Consider the following 22,153-nt stretch of genomic DNA (forward strand, 5'->3'; position numbering starts at 1 on the left):
CAAGAAAGTAAAATAAAGTTTATATTGTATTATTTTGGAAAAAAGAATTAAAACTATCTTCATTTGCAGGTGACATAATCATATATATGTATGTATAACATACAAAAGAATCAATAAAAAAACTCATGTAACTGTAAGCAATGATACCAAGGTTGTAGGAGAAAATGTTAGTATACAAAACTCTGAAGGTTAATAGCTACATACTTCTGAAAAAAGAAATCAGAGATCTAAATAAATAAAGGGGTATTCTATCTGCATGGATAAAAAGACTCAGTATTGTCAATATGTCAGTTCTTCCCATGATCTTTAGATTTAATGCACTCAAAATCAAAATTACAAGTTTTTTGTGGATATTAGAAAACTGTTCTTAAAGTTTATATGAAGAAAGAAAAGACTCAGAAAAGCCAACAAGATATTGAAGAAGCAGAAAGATGAAGGATTGACTCTACCCTACTTCAAGACTTACTACAAAGCTACAGTAATCAGGACAGTGTTCTGTTGGTGAAAGAATGACGAACAAATCAATGAAATAAAATAGAGGTCCCAGAAATAGACTCACGTAAGTATAGTAAATTGATCTCTGACAAAGAAGCAAAGGCAACTTGATAAGCAAAAGTTACATTTTCAACAAACTGTACTGTAACAACTGGCTATCCACAGTCAAAAAATGAATTTACACAATGACTTTACACCCTTCATAAAAATGAACTCAAATGGATCATAGATGTAAGTATAAAATGCAAAACTTTAAAACTCCTAGAAGATAACATACAAGAAAATGTGGATGATCTCAGGTTTGGTAATGAGTTTTCAGATACAACACCAATGATAATTCATGAAAAGGCATTTGAGAAGCTGACCTTTATTAAAATTAGTACTTTATGCTCGGTAAAAGATACTGTCAAGAAAATTAAAAAACAACAAGCCACAGATGAGAAAAAATATTTGCAAAGCATGTGACTGATAAAAAAAACTGTTAGATAAAAAACGCTTAAAACTCAACAATAAGAAAATGAACAACTAGATTTAAAAAAATGAGCCAAAGACTTGAAGCCACCTCACTGAAAAAAATATATACATGGGAACTAAGAATATAAACAGATGTTAAACATCATATGTCATTTGATGAATGTAAATTAAAACAACGATAAGATATGACTATGAATGTATTAGAATGGTCAGAATTTGGAACACTGATAACACCAAATGCTATAGAAAATTTGGAACAACAAGAACCCTTATTCATTGCTTGTGGGAATGCAAAATGGCACAGCCATGTTGGAAGACAGTGTGGTGATTTCTGACAAAATTGAATGTACTCTTACCATACAATCTAGCAAGTGTACTCCTCAGTATTTACTGAAAGAAGTAAAATAATTATGTCTACACAAAAACCTATATGCAAAATTTTACAGAGGCTTTATTCATAATTACCCAAACTTGGAAGCAAACAAGATGTCCTTCAGCAGGTGAATAGATAAATTATCTCTGTTATATCCAAACAACAGAATATTATTCAACACTAAAAAGAAATAAACTAGGCCAGGCAGGGTGGCTCACGCCTGTAATCCCAGCGCTTTTGGAGGCTGAAGTGGGCAGATCACTTGAGGTCAGGAGTTCACGACCAGCCTGGCCAGCATGCCGAAACCCTGTCTCTACAAAAAACAAAAATTATCCAGGTGTGGTGGCAAGCACTTGTAATCTCAGCTACTAGGGAGGCTGAGGGAGGAGAATCGCTTGAATCCTGGAGGGGGAGGTTGCAGTGAGCCCAGATCATGCCACTGCCCTCCAGCCTGGGCAACAGAGGGAGATTCTGTCTCAAAAACAAACAAACAATAAACAAAAAAAGAAAACACAGAATGAACTATCAAGCCATGAGAAAACAGAGAAAACTTAAATGCATGTCATTAAGTGAAAGAAACTATTCTGAAAAAGCTATGTGGTGTATTATTCCAATCATATGACAGTCTATAAAAGGCAAAACTATGGAGGCAGTAAAAAGATAAGTGATTGTCAGGAGTTGGTGGGTGGGGAGGCGGGAGGAAGAGGTAAGTAGGCAGAGCACAGAGTATTTGTAGGACAGTAAAACTATTCCATGTGTTATATAATGGTGGATGCATATCATTACACATTTGCCAAAACCCACAGCATACAACACCTAGAGATAACCCTAATGTAAACGATAGACTTTGGGTGATAATGATATTTCAAAATAGGTTAATCCATTGTAACAAATGTATCACTCTGGTGAAGGATGTTGAAAGTGGGGGAGGTTTGTGTGTATGGGGGCAGGGGTTATATAAAAATCTCTATGCCTTCTGCTCAATGTTGCTGTGCAGAGCAAAAAAGGTGGTCACAGCACACACACACACACACACACGGTTATAAGTAATTTTTTTTTGTTCCTACAAAGGTGGTAGATGAAGGCATTGTCATAAAATTATCATTTAGAGAGACAAATTGAAAGGAAAAATAATATTATTAAACTTTTCATTTAATTTCATGTAATTCCAAATATTTAAACAATTCTATTAAACATAATAGAATAATAAGAAATTCAAACATTTATAAGAATTGCATGGAATGGGAAGGATGCTTTTCTCTACCTAACATCCCATCAACATTAATTCTTACTGAACTTTTATTAAAACCAGTGGCCTTACCTTCCTTAGTCCCAGTGGCTTAAATTGTGTGGCTTGTTACCTCTCCTGAAATACTTTTCAAAATTCTCCTTTTCCATGTCTGTTGCACTATAAACCTCCTTTTATTTATTTTTTTCTGTTGAATTTAAAACTCTCTGAGTTTTTATTCCTGCCCACCTCACCCACTTATTATGTAAATTAACAGTTGTTTTCTTCCCCACAAGGAGAGATGACAGGGAGAAAGAAAGGAGGAACTGAGAAACCCTCTCCTACTTTTTAAAGCATACAAGGGAAACAAATTGGTTGTAAATAAGCATATTTTTGATGTATGTGCTCACACTGATGTAATTCATTCATTTACTTATAAGTATTTATAAAATATTGGATATGTATTAGAAACTGCCATTTTCATGCTTTTTAAAAAATTGTTACATATTGAAAAAATTATAATTGTGTATATTTATGGGCTAAAAAGGGATGCTATGACATTTGAATACAATTTAAAAGAAATCAATCTAATTAACATATTCATCATTTCACATATTTAACATTTTGCCTTCATTTTGAAAATATTTACCAAATTTTTCTCTTATTAAATTTGGATTGATTTCTCCTACTGAAATTAAGTCTATTCTCAGCTTTGGGTATCCTAATTATTTAACATTTACTAAAGACTCTACCTGCTGAAAACTCAAACCATGCTTTTCCTCTACCTCATGAATATCAGATGTAGACATGAAGGTTGTAATTATTTTTTTCTCATTGAGGACTTGGTACAAAATTGTAGGTATTTTGACAGTCTTTTTATATTTTTCATCACTGATATTCTTTCAGTATGTTGACTTACTCTTATTTCTTGCATAACTGTTTTTTTCTTATTTTTCTTTATTCATCACCCTATTAGAATATTTTATTATACTACACCGCTTCAGTGCTTCAGTCATATACTCACAGATTGTTCAGACATGTATCAAATGCCTAACAGGTGCTAGTCACTCTTATGCTAAGGGCTGTCAATTCACTGCAGATCAAGAGTAATCATGTCCCTTTCTCATAGAGCTTGCATTAATTCATTGACTGAAAAGCAAAAAGATAAAAAACAAAGCACTTATGAAATATTGCCTCTCAGCATTTTGGTTAATATTACATGTGAAGCATTCACAAAATGTGTGAAGTTTTGGGAAGAAAATGTAAATAATAAACTCTCACAGACTTCAAAACATAATAGAGAAAACTCCACAAATGTTTAAAAGGCATTAATAATGAACCTAATTGTGCTAAATTATATAGCAGAGGTACATAAAATGTACATGGCAAAGTTAAAAAGGAACAGCAGATTTTTTATAGACAGAGCATATAGGAGGTGATGGAATTGAGTTTGGAAGGAACATATCTCAAAATAATAAGTCATCTATGACAAACCCACAGCCAACATTATACTGAATAGTCAATAGAAGGAAGTACTCCCCTTGAAAACTGGCACAAGAACAGGATACCTTCTCTCACCACTCCTATTCAGCATAGTATTGGAAGTTACAAAGGTCTAATAACCAGCATATATAAGGAAATTAAATTTACAAGAAACAATCCCATTAAAAGGTGGATAAAGGATATGAACAGATACTTTTCAAATATGACATACATGTTATTGATTTTTCCTATCCCCAAGAATGAAATGTTTTTCCATTTGTTTGTGTCCACTCTTATTTCCTTGAGCAGTGGTTTGTAGTTCTCCTTGAAAATTTCCTTCATGTACCTTGTTAGATGTATTCCTAGGTATTTTATTCTTTTTGTAACAGTTGTAAATCGGTTTTCATTGATGGAAGTTGTAAGATGTATAGTTTGCAAAATTTTTCTCCCAGTCTGTAGGTTGTCTGTTTACTCTGTTGATAGTTTCTTTTGCTCTGCAGAAGCTCTTTACTTTAATTAGATCTTATTTGTCAATTTTTACTTGTGTTGCAATTGCTTTTGTAGTCATTTGCATAAAATATTTGCCAGTGCTTATGTTCTCAATGGTATTGCCTTGGTTGTCTTCCAGGGTTGTTATAGTTTTGAGTTTTACATTTAAGTCTTTAATACATCTTGAGTTAATTTTTGTGTATGGTGTAAGGAAGGGGTTCAGTTCCAATTTTCTGCATATGGCTAGCCAGTTATCTTAGCACCATTTATTTCATAGGGAATATTTTCCCCCATACTTTTTTTTGGTCAGGTTTTAAAAGATCAGATAGTTGTAGATGTCTGGTCTTATTTCTGGGTTTTCTATTCTGTCCAATTGGCCTATGTGTCTGTTCTTGTACCAGTACCATGTTGTTTTAATTACTGTAGCCCTTCAGTATAGTTTGAAGTCTGGCAGCATGATGCCTCAAGCTTTGTTCTTTTTGCTTTGTATTGTCATGGCTATTTGGACTCTTTCTTCATTCCATATGAATTTTAAAATATTTTTCTAGTTTGGTGAAGAATGTCAATGCTAAGTTGGTGGGAATAGCATTGAATTTATAAATTACTTTGGGCAGTGTGCAGTATGGCCATTTTTGTGATATTGATTCTTCCTATTCATGAGCATGAAATGTTTTCCATTTGTTTGTGTCATCTCTGATTTCTTGGAGCAGTGGTTTGTATTTCTCCTTGTAGAGATCTTTCAGCTTGCTGTTTAACTGTGTTCCCAGATATTTTATTATTTCTGTGGCTATTGTAAGTGGGATTACATTCCTGATTTGACTCTCAGCTTGACTGTTGTTGGTGCATAGGAATGTTGTTAATTTTTGCACATTGATTTTCTATCCTGGGAATTTGCTGAAGTTGATTATCAGCTTAAGGTGCTTTTGGGCTGAGGCTATGAGGTTTGCGAGATACAGAATCATGTCAACTGCAAACAGGGATAGCTTGACTTTCTTTTTTTCTATTTGAATGTACTTTATTTCTTTCTCTGGCCTAACTGTCTGTAGTTTTCTTCTAAAAATTTCTTTGCCTGTTTTGCATATTAGGGTAATTCTGGCTTCATAGAACAAGACGAGAAGTACAACCTCTGCTTTATGTTTTTAAAAAATTGTAGAGAATTGGTATAATTAATTAAATCATGGATAGAATTCACTAGTGAGACCATCAGGGTCTTCTGCTTTCTGTTTTGAAAGGTTACTGGTTATCAATTCAATTTATTTCATGCACACAGGTTCAGGCAGGTTGTCTATTTCTTTTTGTATGAGTCTTGGCAAACTGTATCTTTCAAGAAATTGGTCTGTTCCATCTAGGTTATCAGATTTGTGGGTTATAGTTCACAATTTGCCTTTATTATCCTTTTAATGTCCATGGGATTTGTAGTGATGCCTCCTCTTTCACTTCTAATACTGGAATTTGTTGCCTTTCTTATTTCCCCCACCCTTAGGTAGCCTATCTGGGGGCTTATACATTTTATTGATCTATTCAAATAATTGATTTTTAAATTTCATTTTTTTGATTTTTTTAATTTTCAAAATTGAAAATATTCCTTTTATTGTTCTTTCTTTCATTATGTACATTTGAACATTTGAATTTATGACCTATATCATTTTCCTTCTCTCTAAAAAACTTTTTAAAAACACTTCTTGAAAAGCAATTCTACTGGCAACAAATTCCTTCAATGTTTATTTGTCTCATAAAGTTTTCATTTCTCCTCCATTTTAATGGTTAATTTTTCAGGCTACAGAATTTTAGCTTGCTAGTTTCTGGGGTTCTCTCTCTCTCTCTCTCTCTCTTTCTCTCTGCCCCCCTCTCTCTCTCTCTCCCTCAACATTTTAAACATTTTACTCTACTCTTATTGTTTTTGTGGCTTCTGAAGAGAAGTTTGATATAATTCTTATTTTTGTTCCTTTGTAGATAAGGCATTATTTCTTCTAGCTTCTTTCAGAATATTTTATTGAGGATTTTTGCATTGCTATTTATCAGGGATATTGGCATGATGTTTTCTTTTTTTGTTGTATCTCTGCCAGGTTTTGGTATCAGGATGATGCTGGCCTCATAAAATAAGTTAGGGAGAAGTTCTTCCTTTTCAATTGTTTGGAATAGTTTCAGAAGAAATGGCACCAGCTCCTCTTTGTACCTCTGCCCAAAGTAATTTACAGATTAAATGATATTCCCATTAAACTACCATTGATGTTCTTCACGGAATTAGAAAAAAACTACTTTAAAATTCATCTGGAACCATAAAAGAGCCCATGTAGCCAAGACAATCCTAAGCAAAAAGAACAAAGCTGGAAACATCATGCTATCTGACTTCAAACTACACTGCACAGCTACAGTAACCAAAATAGCATGGTATTGGTACCAAAAGAGACACATAGACCAGTGGAAGAGAATAGAGATCTCAGAAATAAGATCACACATCTACAAACATCTGATCTCAACAAGCCTGACAAAAACAAACAATAGGGAAAGGATTCTCTATTTAATAAGTGGTGATGGGAACACTGTCTAGACATATGCAGAAAATTGAAACTGGACCCTTCCTTACACATTATACAAAAATTAACTAAAGATAGATTAAAGACTGAAGTGTAAAACCCAAAACTATAAAAACCCTAGAAAAAAAGCTGGACAAAACCATTCAGGTCATAGGCACCAGCAAAGATTTCATGACAAAAACATCAAAAGCAATTGCAACAAAAGCAAAAATTGACATTTGGGATCTAATTAACTGAACAGCTTCAGCACAACAAAAGAAACTATCATCAGAGTGAACCGACAATCTATGGAATGGGAGTAAATTTTTGCAATCCATCCATCTGACAAAGATCTAATATCCAGAATCTACAAGGAACTTAAACAAATTTACGAGATAAAAACAAGCAACCCCATGAAAAAGTGGACAAAGTACATGAACAAAAACTTCTCAAAAGAAGACTTTTCTGCAGCCAAAAAACATTAATAAAAGTTCAACATCACTGATCATTAGAGACATATGAATTAAAATTAAAACCATAATGAGATACCATCTCATGCCAGTCAGAATGGCCATTATTAAAAAGTCAAGAAACAACAATGCTAGCAAGGCTGTGGAGAAATAGGAATGCTTTTACACTTTGGTGGGAATGTAAATTAGTTTAACATTTCAAAGACATTGTGGCGATTCCTCAAGGATCTAAAACCATAAATACCATTTGACTCACCAATCCCATTACTGGGTATATACTCAAAGGAATATAAATCATTCTGTTTTAAAGATACATATGCATATATGCTTATTGCAGCACTATTCACAATAGCAAAGACATAGAATCAACCCAAATGCCAATCAATAATAGACTGGATAAAGAAAATGTGCTACGTATACACAATAGAATACTATGCAGCCATAAAGAGGAATGAGATCATGTCTCTTGCAAGGACATGGATGGAGCTGGAAGTCATTGTCTGTAGCAAATGAATACAGGAACAGAAAACCAAACACTACGTGTTCTTACTCATAAGTGGGAGCTGAACTGTGAGAACACAGGGACACAGGGAGGGGAACAACACACACCAGGGACTCTCAGGGGGACGAGGGGAGAAAGAGCATCAGGATAAATAGCTAATGCATGCGGGGCTTAATACGTAGGTGGTGGGTTGATAAGTGAAGGAAAGCACCATGGCACATGTTAATATACGTAACATATCTGCATGACCTGCATATGTATCCTGGAACTTAAAATGAAGTTAAATTTTTAAAAAACGTTAAACTTTTTATCGTAGGTGGGAATTGAACAATGAGAACACATGGACACAGGAAGGGGAACATCACACTCTGGGGACTGTTGTGAGGTGGGGGGAGGGGGGAGGGATAGCATTAGGTGATATACCTAATGCTAAATGATGAGTTAATGGGTGCAGCACACCAGCATGGCACATGTATACATATGTAACTAACCTGCACATTGTGCACACGTATCCTAAACCTTAAAGTATAATAATAATAAAATAAAATAAAATAATAAAAAAAGGAAGGAAGAAGGAAAGAGGAAGAAGAAAGGAATATAAACATGATTAAAAATGCAGATATATCTCTAAAAATTAAGGGTTTTTTTCTTTAAGAGCAATTATTAAATAATATTTTTCAGAAAAAAAAATTATAAAGACAAGACCTCTGTCACTTTCAAATAGGATGCCCTAATAAGTCCTGGAAACTCTATTTAATATTTACACATACTTTACTAGACACCTAGCATGAAGTTGAAGATATATTAGAGCTTAATCTGTAAAGATATGGACCTTGGCCTTTCAGATATGCTATTGTACAGTGACTCCTACTGATGTTACACAGTGCGCACGTGTGTGTGTGTGTGTGTGTGTGTGTGTGTGTGTGTGTGACAGAGAGAGAGAAAGAGGTCTCTCTCTCTGGCTTTTTTTTTTCCCAATGAGTCAGTGGTGTTGGGTCAATAAAATTAACATTCCTATTTTACTCATTCTGTGGAAACAAGTTCATGTGCCAGTGGGTGTTCATGCTGATACTGGTGAGGCCTTAACTTCCCCCAAAATGCATATCGTATTAATTTTCCAAATAAATATTTAACAAGTAAAAAAAAAAATTTAAAAAAGAAGATATACATGTGACCAACAAATATATGAAAAAAAGCTTGACATCACTGATCATTAGAGAAATGCAAATCAAAACCCCAATGAGATACCATCTAACACTAGTCAGAATGGCTATTATTAAAACGTCAAAAAATAAGAGATGCTGGCTGTGTTGTGGAGAAAAAGGAACACTTTACACACTGTTAGTGGAAGTGTAAATTAATTCAGCCGTATGGAAGACAGTGGGGCGATTCCTCAAAGACCTCAAGACAGAAATACCATTTGACTCAGTAATCTCATGACTGGGTATATACTCAATGAAATATAAATCATTCTATTATAAAGAAGCATACACACGTATGGTCATTGCAGCACAATTTACAATAGCAAAGACATGGAATCAACCTAAATGCCCATCAATGATAGACTGAATGTATTAGTCAGGGTTATCTAGAGACAGGAGTAATAGAATGGATGTATATATGAAAGGGAGTTTATTAAGGAGAATTGCCTCACACAATCACAAGGTGAAGTCCCAAAATAGGCCATCTGCAAGCTAAAGAGCAAGAAAGCCAGCCTGAGTCTCCAAACCTCAAAAGTAGGGAAGCTGACAGTGCAGCCTTCAGTCTATGGACAAAGGCCTGAGAGCCCCTTGTTAACCGCTGGTGTAGGTCCAAGCATCCAAAAGCTGAGGAACTTGGAGTCCAATGTTCGAGGGCAGGAAGCATCCAGCACTGGAAAAAGATGGAGGCCAGAAGATTTAGCTAGTCTAGTCCTTCCATGTCCCTTGGACTGCTTTTATCCTAGCTGCACTGGATGCTGACTAGATGGTGCCCACCCAGACTGAGAGTACATCTGCCTTTCCCAGTCCACTGACTCAAATGTTAATCTCCTTTGGCAACATCCTTACAGACACCCAGGGACAATACTTTGCATCCTTCAGTCCAATCAAGTTAACACTCAATATTAACCATCACATGGAGAGGTGAAGCCAGCTGAACTTCCTGGGTCAAGTGGGGACTTGGAGAACGTTTCTGTCTAGCTAGAGGATTGTAAACACACCAATCAGCGTTCTGTGTCTAGCTAAAGGATTGTAAATGCACCAATCAGCACTCTGTAAAAATGCACCAATCAGCGCTCTGTGTCTAGCTAGAGGATTGTAAATGCACCAATCAGCACTCTGTAAAAACGTACCAATCAGCAATCTGTGTCTAGCCAAAGGATTGTAAATGCACCAATCAGCACTGTGTAAAAACACGCCAATCAGCACTCTGTGTCTAGCTAAAGGATTGTAAATGCACCAATCAGCACTCTGTAAAATGGACCAATCAGCAGGACATGGGCAGGGACAAATAAGGGAATAAAAGCTGGCCACCTCAGCCAGCAGTGGCAACCCTCTCAGGTCCCCTTCCATGCTGTGGAATCTTTGTTTTTTCGCTCTTCACAGTAAAACTTGCTGCTGCTCACTCTTTGTGCCCGTGCCACCTTTAAGAGCTGTAACACTCACATGAAGGTCCTTGGCTTCATTCTTGAAGTCAGCGAGACCAAGAACCCACTGGAATGAACCAACTCCGGACACATTTTGGCAACCACGATGGGATGATAGCCAAGTGCTGAGTACCATTGGACACCTTTCACTTGCTAGTCTGTCCTATTTTTCCTTAGAATTCAGGGGCTAAATACCAAGCACCTGCCGGCCAATTAAAAGCAACCAGCATGGCTGCCGGACTAAAGACATGGGTGTCAGGCTTTCTGGGAAAGAGCTCTCTAACAAACCCTGGCTCTTTGGAGTTGGGACCATTGGTTTGCCTGGAACCAGCTTCCATTTTTCCTGTACTTCTGGGCTGAGCCAAGGGTCAACAGAGAGGAAAGCCATTCAGCTACGGGGTCCCGACAAAAAGTTGGTTGACCCTGCAGCCATGAGCAGAACTCTTTAAGTCATGTCGCCCAACTGAGATTCACCCATTTATCCTATCTATCCTGAACCTTGCCTCCTGGGTCCTAATGCCTGTCAGACAAACTTCCTTTTGTTTCTCTTCTCCAAAGCTAGTCCTGCTTCTAAAAACCACTCCCTGTCTCTGGTGCTTTTCTAGTTTCACCTGTAAGAATGATTTCTATTATAAACCTCAGGACTCTGTTTCCTTCTTTAGGCACCCAGGCTCACCAATCAGAAAGACATAATTTTTGCCCAAAGCCTTGTCAGAGGTGGGGACTATCTGGAATTTTAGGATCCGTCCTCAGACAAGTGGGCCTAACAAAGGCTATTCCTGAAGCTAAGATATGGGGAGCCTCAGAAGTGATATCCTTCCTATTCACATGATGAGAAGTGAGGACAAAACATGTCACTCTTCCAACCCTGGAGATCCCTTCCCTTCTTCAGGGTATGGCCCTCCACTTTATTTTTGGGGAATAACATCTTTATAGGACAGGGGTAATGTCCCAATACTAACAGGAGAATGCTTAGGACTCTAACATTCTTAGGTTTTTGAGAATGCATTGGTAAGGGCCACTAAATCTGATTTTTCTCAGTCCTCTTTGTGGTCTAGGAGGACAAGCAAGGGTGCAGGTTTTTGAGAATGTGTCAGTAAGGGCCACTAAATCCGACCTTCCTTGGTCCTCCTTGTGGTCTAGGAGGAATACTAGTGTTTCTGTTGCTGCATCGGTGAGCGCAACTATTCTGATCAGCAGGGTCCAGGGACCATTGTGAGTTCTTAGGTAAGAGGGGGAAAACAAACCAAAACCACAGGTGGTTTTTTCTTTCAGATGGGAAACACTCAGTCATCAACAGGCTCACCCTTGAAAGGCATCCTAAGCCATTGGGACCAATATGACCTGCAAACCCTGAAAAAGAAGTGACTCATTTTTTCTGCACTATAGCCTGGCCTGAATATTTTCTCTCTGATAGGGAAAAATGGCCACCTGAGGGAAGTATATATTACAATACTATCCTGCAGCTTGACCTTTTCTGTAAGAGGGAAGGCAAATGGAGTGAAATACCTTATGTCCAATCTTTCTTTTCATTGAAGGAAAATCCACAACTGTGCAAAGCTTGCAATTTACATCCCACAGGAGGACCTCTCAGCTTACCCCCATATCCTAGCCTTCCTAGAGCTCTCCTTCCTATTAATGATAAGCCTCCTCTAATCTCCCCTGCCCAGAAGGAAACAAGCAAAGAAATCTCCAAGGGACCACAGAACTCCCCTGGCTATCAGTTATGTCCCCTTCAAGCTGTAGGGGGAAGGGAATTTGGCCCAACATGGGTACATGTCCCCTTCTCCCTCTCTGATTTAAAGCAGATCAAGGCAGACCAGGGGAAGTTTTCAGATGATCCTGATACATACATAGATGTCCTACAGGGTCTACGGCAAACCTTTCACCTCACTTGGAGAGATGTCATGCTATTATATCAAACCCTGGCCTTTAATGAAAAGAATGCAGCTGTAGCTGCAGCCTGAGAGTTTGGAGATACCTGGTATCTTAGTCAAGTAAATGATAGAATGACAGCTGAAGAAAGGGACATATTCCCTACTGGTCAGCAAGCCATCCCCCGTATGGTTCCCCACTGGAACCTTGACTCAGATCATGGGGACTATACTTGTAAACATCTATTGACCTGTGTTCTAGAAGGACTAAGGAGAATTGGGAAAAAGCCCATGAATTATTCAATGATGTCCACCATAACTCAGGGAAAAGAAGAAAATCCTTCAGCCTTCCTTGAGTGGCTTCGGGAGGCCTTAAGAAAATATACTCCCCTGTCACCTGACTCACTCGAGGGTCAATTGATCCTAAAAGATAAGTTTATTACCCAATCAGCCACAGATATCAGGAGAAGTCTCCAAAAGCGAGCCCTGGGCCCTGAACAATATCTGGAGGCATTACTAAACCTGACAACCTTGGTGTTCTATAATAGGGACCAAGAGGAACAGGCCAAAAAGGAAAAGCAAGATCAGAGAAAGGCCACAGCCTTAGTCATGGCCCTCAGACAAACAAACCTTGGTGGTTTGGAGAGGACAGAAGATGGAGCAGACCAGTCACCCAGTGGGGCTTGTTATCAGTGTGGTTTGCAAGGACACTTTTAAAAAAGATTGTCCAACAAGAAACAAGCTGCCCCTCACCCATGTCCTCTCTGCCAAAGCAATCAATGGAAGGTGCATTTCCCCAGAGGACAAAGGTTCTCTGGGCCAGAAGCCCCCAGCCAGATGATCCAACAACAGGACTGAGGGTGCCCTGGGCAAGTGCCAGCTCATGTTATAACCCTCACTGAGCCCCAGGTATGTTTAACCATTGAGGGCCAGGAAATTGACTTCCTCCTGTACACTGGTGCAGCCTTCTCAGTGTTAATCTCCTGTCCCAGATGGCTTTCCTCAAGGTCTGTTACCATCTGAGGAATCCTGGAACAGCCTGTAACCAGGTATTTCTCCCACCTCCTCAGTTGTAATTGGGAGACTTTGCTCTTTTCACATGCCTTTCTTGTTATGCCTGAAAGTCTCACACCATTATCAGGGAGGGACATATTTGGCTATTGCCAAAGCTGGAGCCATTATCTACATTGATATGGGGAACAAGTTACCCATTTGTATTCCCCTGCTTGAGGAGGGAATCAACCCTAAAGTCTGGGCATTGGAAGGACAAATTTTAAGGGCAAAAAATGCCTGTGCAGTCCAAATCAGGCTAAAAGACCCCACCACTTTTCCTTATCAAAGGCAATAGCCCTTAAGGCATGAAGCTCATAAAGGATTACAGGATATTGTTAGACATTTAAAATCTCACAGCTTAGTAAGAAAATGCAGCAGTTCCTGCAACACCACAATTCTAGGAGTACAAAAACTGAATGGTCAGTGGAGACTAGTGCAAGATCTTAGACTCATCAATGAGGCAGTAATTCCTCTATATCCAGTTATACCCAACCCCTATACCTTGCTCTCTTAAATACCAGAGTAAGCAGAATGGTTTACGGTTCTGGACCTCAAGGATGCCTTCTTCTGTAATCCCCTGCACTCTGACTTCCAGTTTCTCTTTGTCTTTCAGGATCCCACAGACCACACGTGTCCCAACTTACATGGACAGTCTTGCCCCAAGGGTTTAGGGATAGCCCTCATCTATTTGGTCAGGCACTGGCCCAAGATCTAAGCCACTTCTCAAGTCTGGGCACTCTGGTCCTTCAGTATGTGGATGATTTACTTTTGGCTACCAGTTCAGAAGCCTCATGCCAGCAGGCTACTATAGAATTCTTGAACTTTCTAGCTAATCAAGAGTAAAAGGCATCTAAATCGAAGGCCCAGCTCTGCCTACAAGAAGTCAAATATCTAGGCCTAATCTTATCCAGAGGAACCAGGACCCTCAGTACGGAATGAATACAGCCTATACTGGCTTATCCTCACCCTAAGACATTAAAACAATTGCAGGGGGTTCCTTGGAATCACTGGCTTTTGCCGACTATGGATCACTGGATACAGTGAGATGGCCAGACCACTCTATACTCTAATCAACGAGACCCAGAGGGCAAATACTCACCTAGTAGAATGGGAACCAGAGACAGAAACAGCCTTCCAAACCCTAATGCAGGCCCTATTACAAGCTCCAGCCTAAAGCCTTCCCACATGACAAAACTTCTCTTTATACATCACAGAGAGAGCAGGAATAGCTCTTGGAGTCCTTACTCAGACTCGTGGGACAACCCCAAAACCAGTGGCATACCTAAATAAGGAAATTGATACAGTAGCAAAAGGCTGGCCTCACTGTTTACAGGTAGTTGCGGTGGTGGCCATCTTAGTGTCAGAGGCCATCAAAATAATACAAGGAAAGGATCTCACTGTCTGGACTACTCATGATGTAAATGGCATGCTAGGTGCCAAAGGAAGTTTACAGCTATCAGACAACTGCCTGCTCAGATACCAGGTCCTACTTCTTGAGGAACCGGTGCTTCAAATGTGCATGTGTGTGGCCCTCAACCCTGCCACTTTTCTCCCAGAGGATGGAGAACCAATCGAGTATGACTGCCAACAAATTATAATCCAGACTTATGCCACCCAAGAGGATCTCTTAGAAGTCCCCTTAGCTAATGCTGACCTTAACCTATATACTGATGAAAGTTCATTTGTGGAGAATGGGATACAAAAGGCAGGTTATGCCATAGTTAGTGATGTAACAGTACTTGAAAGTAAGCTTCTTCCCCCAGGGACAAGCACCCAGTTAGCAGAACTAGTGGCACTTACCCAAGCCTTAGAACTGGGAAAGGGAAAAAGAATAAATGTGTATACAGATATCAAGTATGCTTATCTAACCCTACATGCCCATGCTGCAATATGGAAAGAAAGGGAGTTCCTAACCTCTAGGAGAACCCCCATTAAATACAACAAGGAAATCATGGAGTTATTGCACACACTGCAAAAATCCAAGGAGGTGGCAGTCTTACACTGCTGAGGCAAAAGCCATCAAAAGGGCAAGGAGGGGGAGAACAGCAGCATAAGTGGCTGGCAGAGGCAGGGAAAGACCAGCAGAGAGGAAAGAGAGAGAGAGAGGAAGAGATAGAGAGACAGAGAGAGACAAAGTCAGAGAAAGAGAGAGAGAGGAATAGACAGACGGAGTCAGAGAGAAAGAGACAGAAAGACAGAAAGAGAAGGAAGGAGAGAGATGGAAGTAGTAAAGAAAAAAGTGTACCCTATTCCTTTAAAAGCCAGAGTAAATTTAAAACCTATAATTGATAATTGAAGGTCTTCTCTGCAACCTTATAACATTCCAATGCCACCTTGTTGTCAGTGTGAACAAGGGAGTAGCCCAAAAGCACTGAGGTCACTGACAACCCATAGCCTTCCTATCAAAAATCCTTAACCCAGCAGGTTTCGTAACAGGGGATCTAAATCTTAATTAACTACCATACAAAAGTCCGACCAGACCTAGGAAGAACTCCCTTCAGTACAGGACGATAGATGGTACCTCCAGGGTGATTAAAGGAAAAAGACAAAATGGGTATTCAGTAAGTGATAAGGAAACTCTTGTAGAAGCAGAGTTAGGAAAATTGCCTAATAATTGGTCTTCTCAAACGTGTGAGCTGTTTGCACTCAGCTAAACCTTAAACAGAATCAGGAAGGAGCCATCTATACCAATTTTAAGTTAATATGGACTGAACGAGGTCTTATTAATAGCAAAGAATAATTGAAATCCCAAACTTACAAATTTTCAACAAAAGTAAAGTTTGCTAAAAGTTAACAGTTTAACATGTATTATCCTACTACCACACACTCTCAAAGGATTTCTCAGACAGTTTGCAAGAAATAACAAAATCTATCCTTACTCTACAGTCTAAAATAGACTCTTTGGCAGCAGTGACTCTACAAAACTGCTGAGGCCTAGACCTCCTTACTACTGAGAAAGGAGGACTCTGCACCTTCTTGGGGGAGGAGTGTTGCTTTTACACTAACCAGTCAGGAATAGTATAAGACACCACCCAAAGTTTATAGGAAAAGGGTTCTGAAATCAGACAATGCCTTTCAAACTCTTATACTGACCTCTGGAGTTGGTTGACATGACTTCTCCCCTTTCTAGGTCCCGTGACAGACATCTTGCTATTACTTGCCTTTGGGTCCTGTATTTTTAATCTCCTTGTCAAATATGTTTCCTCTAGGATCGAGGCCATCAAGCTACAGATGGTCTTACAAATGGAACCCCAAATGAGCTCAACTAACAACTTCTACCGAGGACCCCTGGACCGACCCACTGGCCCTTTGACTGGCCTAAAGAGTTCCCCTCTGGAGGACACTACAACTGCAGGGCACCTTCTTTGTCCCATATCTAGCAGGAATTAGCTAGAGCAGTCATTGCCCAATTCCCAACAGCATTTGGGGTGTCCTGTTTAGAGGGGGGATTGAGAGGTGAAGTCAGCTGGACTTCCTGGGTCGAGTGGGGACTTGGAGAACTTTTCTGTCTAGCTAAAGGATTGTAAATGCACCAATCAGCACTCTGTAAAAACACACCAATCAGAGCTCTGTGTCTAGCTAGAGGATTATAGATGCACCAGTCAGTACTCTGTGTCTAGCTAAAGGATTTTAAATGCACCAATCAGCACTCTGTAAAAATGCACCAATCAGTGCTCTATGTCTAGCTAAAGGACTGTAAATGCACCAATCAGTACTCTGTAAAAATGCACCAATCAGCACTCTGTGTCTAGCTAAAGGATTGTAAATGCGTCAATCAGCACTCTGTAAAATGGAACAATCAGTAGGACGTGGGTGGGGACAAATAAGGGAATAAAAGCTGGCCACCCCAGCCAGCAGTGGCAACCTGCTTGGGTCCCCTTCTATGCTGCCAAAGCTTTGTTCTTTTGCTCTTCACAATAACTTTTGCTGCTGCTCACTCTTTGGGTCCATGCCACCTTTAAGAGCTGTAACACTTACTGCAAAGATCCATGGCTTCATTCTTGAAGTCAGTGAGACCAAGAACCCACTGGAAGGAACCAACTCCAGGCACAACACTGTATAAGGTGGTACATATACAGTATAGAATACTATGCAGCCATAAAAAAGAATGAGACCATGTGTCAGGGACATGGATGGAGCTGGAGGTCATTATCCTTACTAAACTAATGCAGGAACAGAAAACCAAATACTACCTGTTCTCACTTATAAGTGGGCACTAAATGATGAGAACACATGGACACACAGAGGGGAACAACACACACTGGAGCCTTTTGGAAGGTGGAAGTTGGAAGGAGTGAGAGGATCAAGAAAACAACTAATGGGCACTAGGCTTAATACTAGGTGATGAAATAATCTGTACAACAAACTCCCATGACACAAGTTTACCTATGTAACAAACCTACACTTATACCTCTGAACTTAAAATAAGTTAAAAAAAAAAAAAAAGAAAACTTTCATGGAATCTCAAGGTGAGTCATGAAAGATAGCTTGATGTTACAAATAAACTAAGATTGCCTAATCCCAACATACTCTCTTTTTAGGCTAACTTAACAATTTATATAGTAATCGATTTTCTTTTTTATTCTCTGCTAAAATATATACTGCAATTTTAATGATGTTTTAATTCATCTTTTCATTCTTTACTATCATAATGCCTAGTACTGAAGACATATTCAGCAATTGTGTAATGGTTGAGGGAATTCTCATCTCTCAGGTGATCAATGTGCATTTCAACTAAATATGACTTTGTTGATGATTCAGCACTGACTGTTTTAAATGTTCTCATCAATAGTCTGACTTAGAGATTTACATGTGAGAAAAACTCCTGTGACTTATTATTTCATTTTAAAATTTATTTAAAAAGGAACAAAATAAAATTAGCTAGCTTCTATAAAACATTCTTAAATTCTTCAAAATGACTCACCAAAACTCGTAATTAATAAGAACATAACATTGGATATTATGCTGTTTATAAATGAATTAATAAATCTATATATTTTCCACCAAACTTGATAAATATTTTTTCCTGAATCTTTTAAAAAAATATTTCTTTTTCCCTGTCTCCTAGCAATAATTCTGTTAGTTACAGATCATCTCACTGGTTAAGAGACCCCAATTGTCACAGATTATAATTAGCTATTGAATTTTCTTTGATTCAACTTTTAATCCCACGTTTCATTAGTAGGAAATTATCTTTCCATAAATGAGTAAAATTCTCAAGGTCCTTCAGAAAGTGTCAGGCATCTAATCAAAGAAAGCTACATTTTTTCATGGAGTCAGTTGTACATATGTCTTTATTGATAGGTGGCTTTATGCTTTCAAATTTATCCTAAGGTGGACCTGAAAAACAGATAAGATATATTCAGTAATAGAAAGCACAGTCATAACTCAATTATACTTACGGGCAGGAAAGTACAAACAGCCAATAATAGAAATTCACAATATAAAACAAACTAGTCTTTTAAGTTATATATTCAATTCCCTAAAACCAGGAAATAAGGGAGAAAATTAAAAAACATTGTTGAAAAGTCATACCTTTTAAAATGTTGTGTGATCTCATATTTTAGATACATTTTTGTTGACATGAAGGTGATTTATAGTGGATTGTTACATCACAAAAACAGGTTACAGATCAAAATGCAAGTCCTGATCTTATTCTTTGAAACATGGTATATACATGAATAGAAGAAAGGGAAAATGAGAATCTACAAAAAATGATAGCTTCATCTAACTGGTGATTTTTTTCCTAAGTATTGTATAAGTGTAGAGTACTTATGTCATAATTGTAAAATTATAATTTTAAAAGAATATTAGTTTTTCAGTAATTTTAGTTAATATTTGTAATAATATTTTAAAAAATATGTTTAAATGTTGTACTATCATCTAGAAACTCCACAAGTAAGGAAACCAGGCGGGTCTCATAAATATCAGAGGAGCAACTACAGACAGAAATAATATTTTCCCCAGTATTTCTGAATTGTTTTTATATTAACATGTGAAATCACACACTGTGGTTAACAGAAAAAAAACCCTATGATGAGGAAGGGAATCTGCATCTGAGCAGGGAGAGGCTGCATGTTCATCTAAAAGCAATAGCTGAGGCTGAGGATCTCTAACGGGAGAAAGAAACTCCTAACACAATCCAACTAAATATTCCTGATGTTTTTCTGCGGTGTGTGTGTGCTCGTGTGTGTGTGTGCACCTGCACATGTGTGTGTGTGCTCGTGTGTGTGTGCACCTGCACATGTGTGTGTGTGCTCGTGTGTGTGTGTGCACCTGCACATGTGTGTGTGTGCTCGTGTGTGTGTGCTCGTGTGTGTGTGTGCACCTGCACATGTGTGTGTGTGCTCGTGTGTGTGTGTGCACCTGCACATGTGTGTGTGTGCTCGTGTGTGTGTGCACCTGCGCCTGTGTGTGTGTATATGTATATTATGGGCATCACACTGTGCCGTCTCTACAAGATACAGAAGTTATCTGAAATTAACTAGACTGATCTTTAAATGGCTTTCTGGTGCTCTAGGTATGTTTTGCAAATTGCAATCCCCTTTGTAGCAGCTACATCACATGTGAATGCTAGACATCCAAATTCTTGGGCCTCAACCCAAGCTACTTATTAAATCAGCAACTCACCAAGCCTTCCAGGTGATTATGATACATAGTTAAGTTTGATTATCCCTGGTCTATAGGCCAAATTTTGATGCTAAATTTCCTATATGTGATTTTACCTGTTTGTTATCATTTTACTTACAATTCTACTTACTATAAACTTCCAATATTTTCCATTGTTCCATTCCTGGTTCCCTTATTGATGCAAGGATACAATATTTCCTTTGAGGGTTGGAACATATATAACTTTTGTATCCCTTCATAGCCCAGGACAGTGTTGCTAAAAAATGTTTAATAAATCTTTAGTTAGTGAAAAATAAATTACTTGACACATCCACTAGCTAAAGCTGGTTTTGCAGACAGCTCTTGTGCAGACAGCTTGAACTGGATAGAGCACTGCTTTCTAGATGATGCTGAATGTCAATATGAAAAAGTCTAATTTCCATGAAGCAAAGATGGCTCTTATTTACCCAGCAACATAGTGCTCCATTTGAGATTACCTATGCTAAGAACTCTTGTTCTTTGTTTTTCTATTATATATCAAATATACAAAAGAGAGAACAGAAAATAAATTTGTTATATAGGAATGCTGCTATTTATTGTCAGCTTTGATACATGGTTTGATAGAGGATTCACAATGGGTGATCGATGAAATCTAAGGACCTAAGTGTCCTAACTAAGCAATTGGTACATTTTATTCATCATAGTTATTTCAGCAGCCTGTTGGAGCTGAAAAGGGAAAGTTGACTGAATATACTCAAGAAATCTTAGACAAAAAATAAAAAAGAGTTCAGGTCAATCTTACCTTTATTTTGAAGTACTCCAATGAAGTATGTACTTGAATCTTACCCAGAACTTGTTCATTTATCTAATTCATTTTTTGGCTGTGGAGAGCCTGAGGCATATAAGAACCAAAGAAAGCTGCTTTTTTATGAGAATGAGTCATTTACAATTTTGCACACCTTCTAAATAACAATCCAGAACTATGTTCAGATTATACTTTTTTCAGTTTTATTGACCATGGAAACAGTCTCTCAATTTAGTAATCCAGTCTCTTAGGAAGCAAACTACAATTTGGTAAGGTTTTGTGTTATACTGTCCTCAGCAATTTTCATGTATTTAATCTATGTGATGACCTGACATGTGTTGTTCAGTTAATGATTGATAGGTAACTGAGGCTCAGAGGGGTTGAATAAATTTTAACAGGTCACACAGCTAGGAAAGAGCAAACAAAAGAAATTAAACTCTCATCTCTTTTCTGTTAGAGAATTTAGTTTTTCAACAATATCTCAGACCGTATCAGAATATTTATGTCTTCAGAAATTTTTGTGGATCTAGCCTCAGGTGCCTTCATGTGATTTTTAAACTTAAAACTCTTGTTTGGTGCAAATCTTGTCTCTTTGGCGTCCAAGTAGCAATTTTATTTACTGTTCCTTTACTGTTCAAGTCTCCTGTGAATTTTCTATTTACTTCTCTGGCCAGAGGAGAGAGAAATGTTTGCTGACCTGGCTGTGTGCTTCATGCACTGACCTTTTAGAACCATTTCTGGTTCTGGATGCTGGAGATTGTCCTCTTTCCACCTGCTTTTGTTTGTACTCTCTGAGCCACTGTTTGCATTTAATTTTAAAATGTCTCCTTCTATTACCTTCCTTAGCTTTGGAGTTTTTATGCCACTTTCATTTATATCTCTCATATCTTTCATTTCATCTAAAACTTTTAAAAAAAAATAAATCCTAGCATAGAAGAGAAGATGCCAACTGGGGACAAACTCATGAAAGAGAAAAAAGAAAAAAAATTAAAGTGGACAGAAATGTGAAAGAGATTGAAATACAAAAAAAAATGAGTTTAAATAAGATGTTTGGACCTGAAAATTTTCTTAAACAGAAGTAAGGGAAGTAAAATAAAAGTGAAGAAAATGACATATTAAAGAATTTGGTGCAGCAGTTACATAGATAAAGTTCCTAT

General features: G+C 38.0%; 2 long non-coding RNA genes across 4 annotated transcripts in view; one reads left to right on the forward strand and one right to left on the reverse strand.

The window, feature by feature from the left end:
* The window catches only part of LOC105374557 (uncharacterized), a 485,690-nt gene that overhangs the window by 175,301 nt on the left and 288,236 nt on the right, over positions 1-22,153 (forward strand). The window lies entirely within an intron of this gene.
* On the reverse strand, positions 18,859-21,283 carry LOC107986269 (uncharacterized). Of its 2 annotated transcripts, none has more exons than XR_001741643.2 (3): positions 20,994-21,283; positions 20,343-20,468; positions 18,859-18,922 (listed from the first exon to the last, which is right to left on the reverse strand). It is a non-coding gene; the product is annotated as an uncharacterized LOC107986269 (long non-coding RNA). The 2 variants fall into 2 exon arrangements; XR_007058439.1 differs by having other exon boundaries at positions 19,118-20,468.

The sequence above is a fragment of the Homo sapiens genome, chromosome 4 (assembly GCF_000001405.40).
Source record: "Homo sapiens chromosome 4, GRCh38.p14 Primary Assembly".
Lineage (NCBI taxonomy): Eukaryota > Metazoa > Chordata > Mammalia > Primates > Hominidae > Homo > Homo sapiens.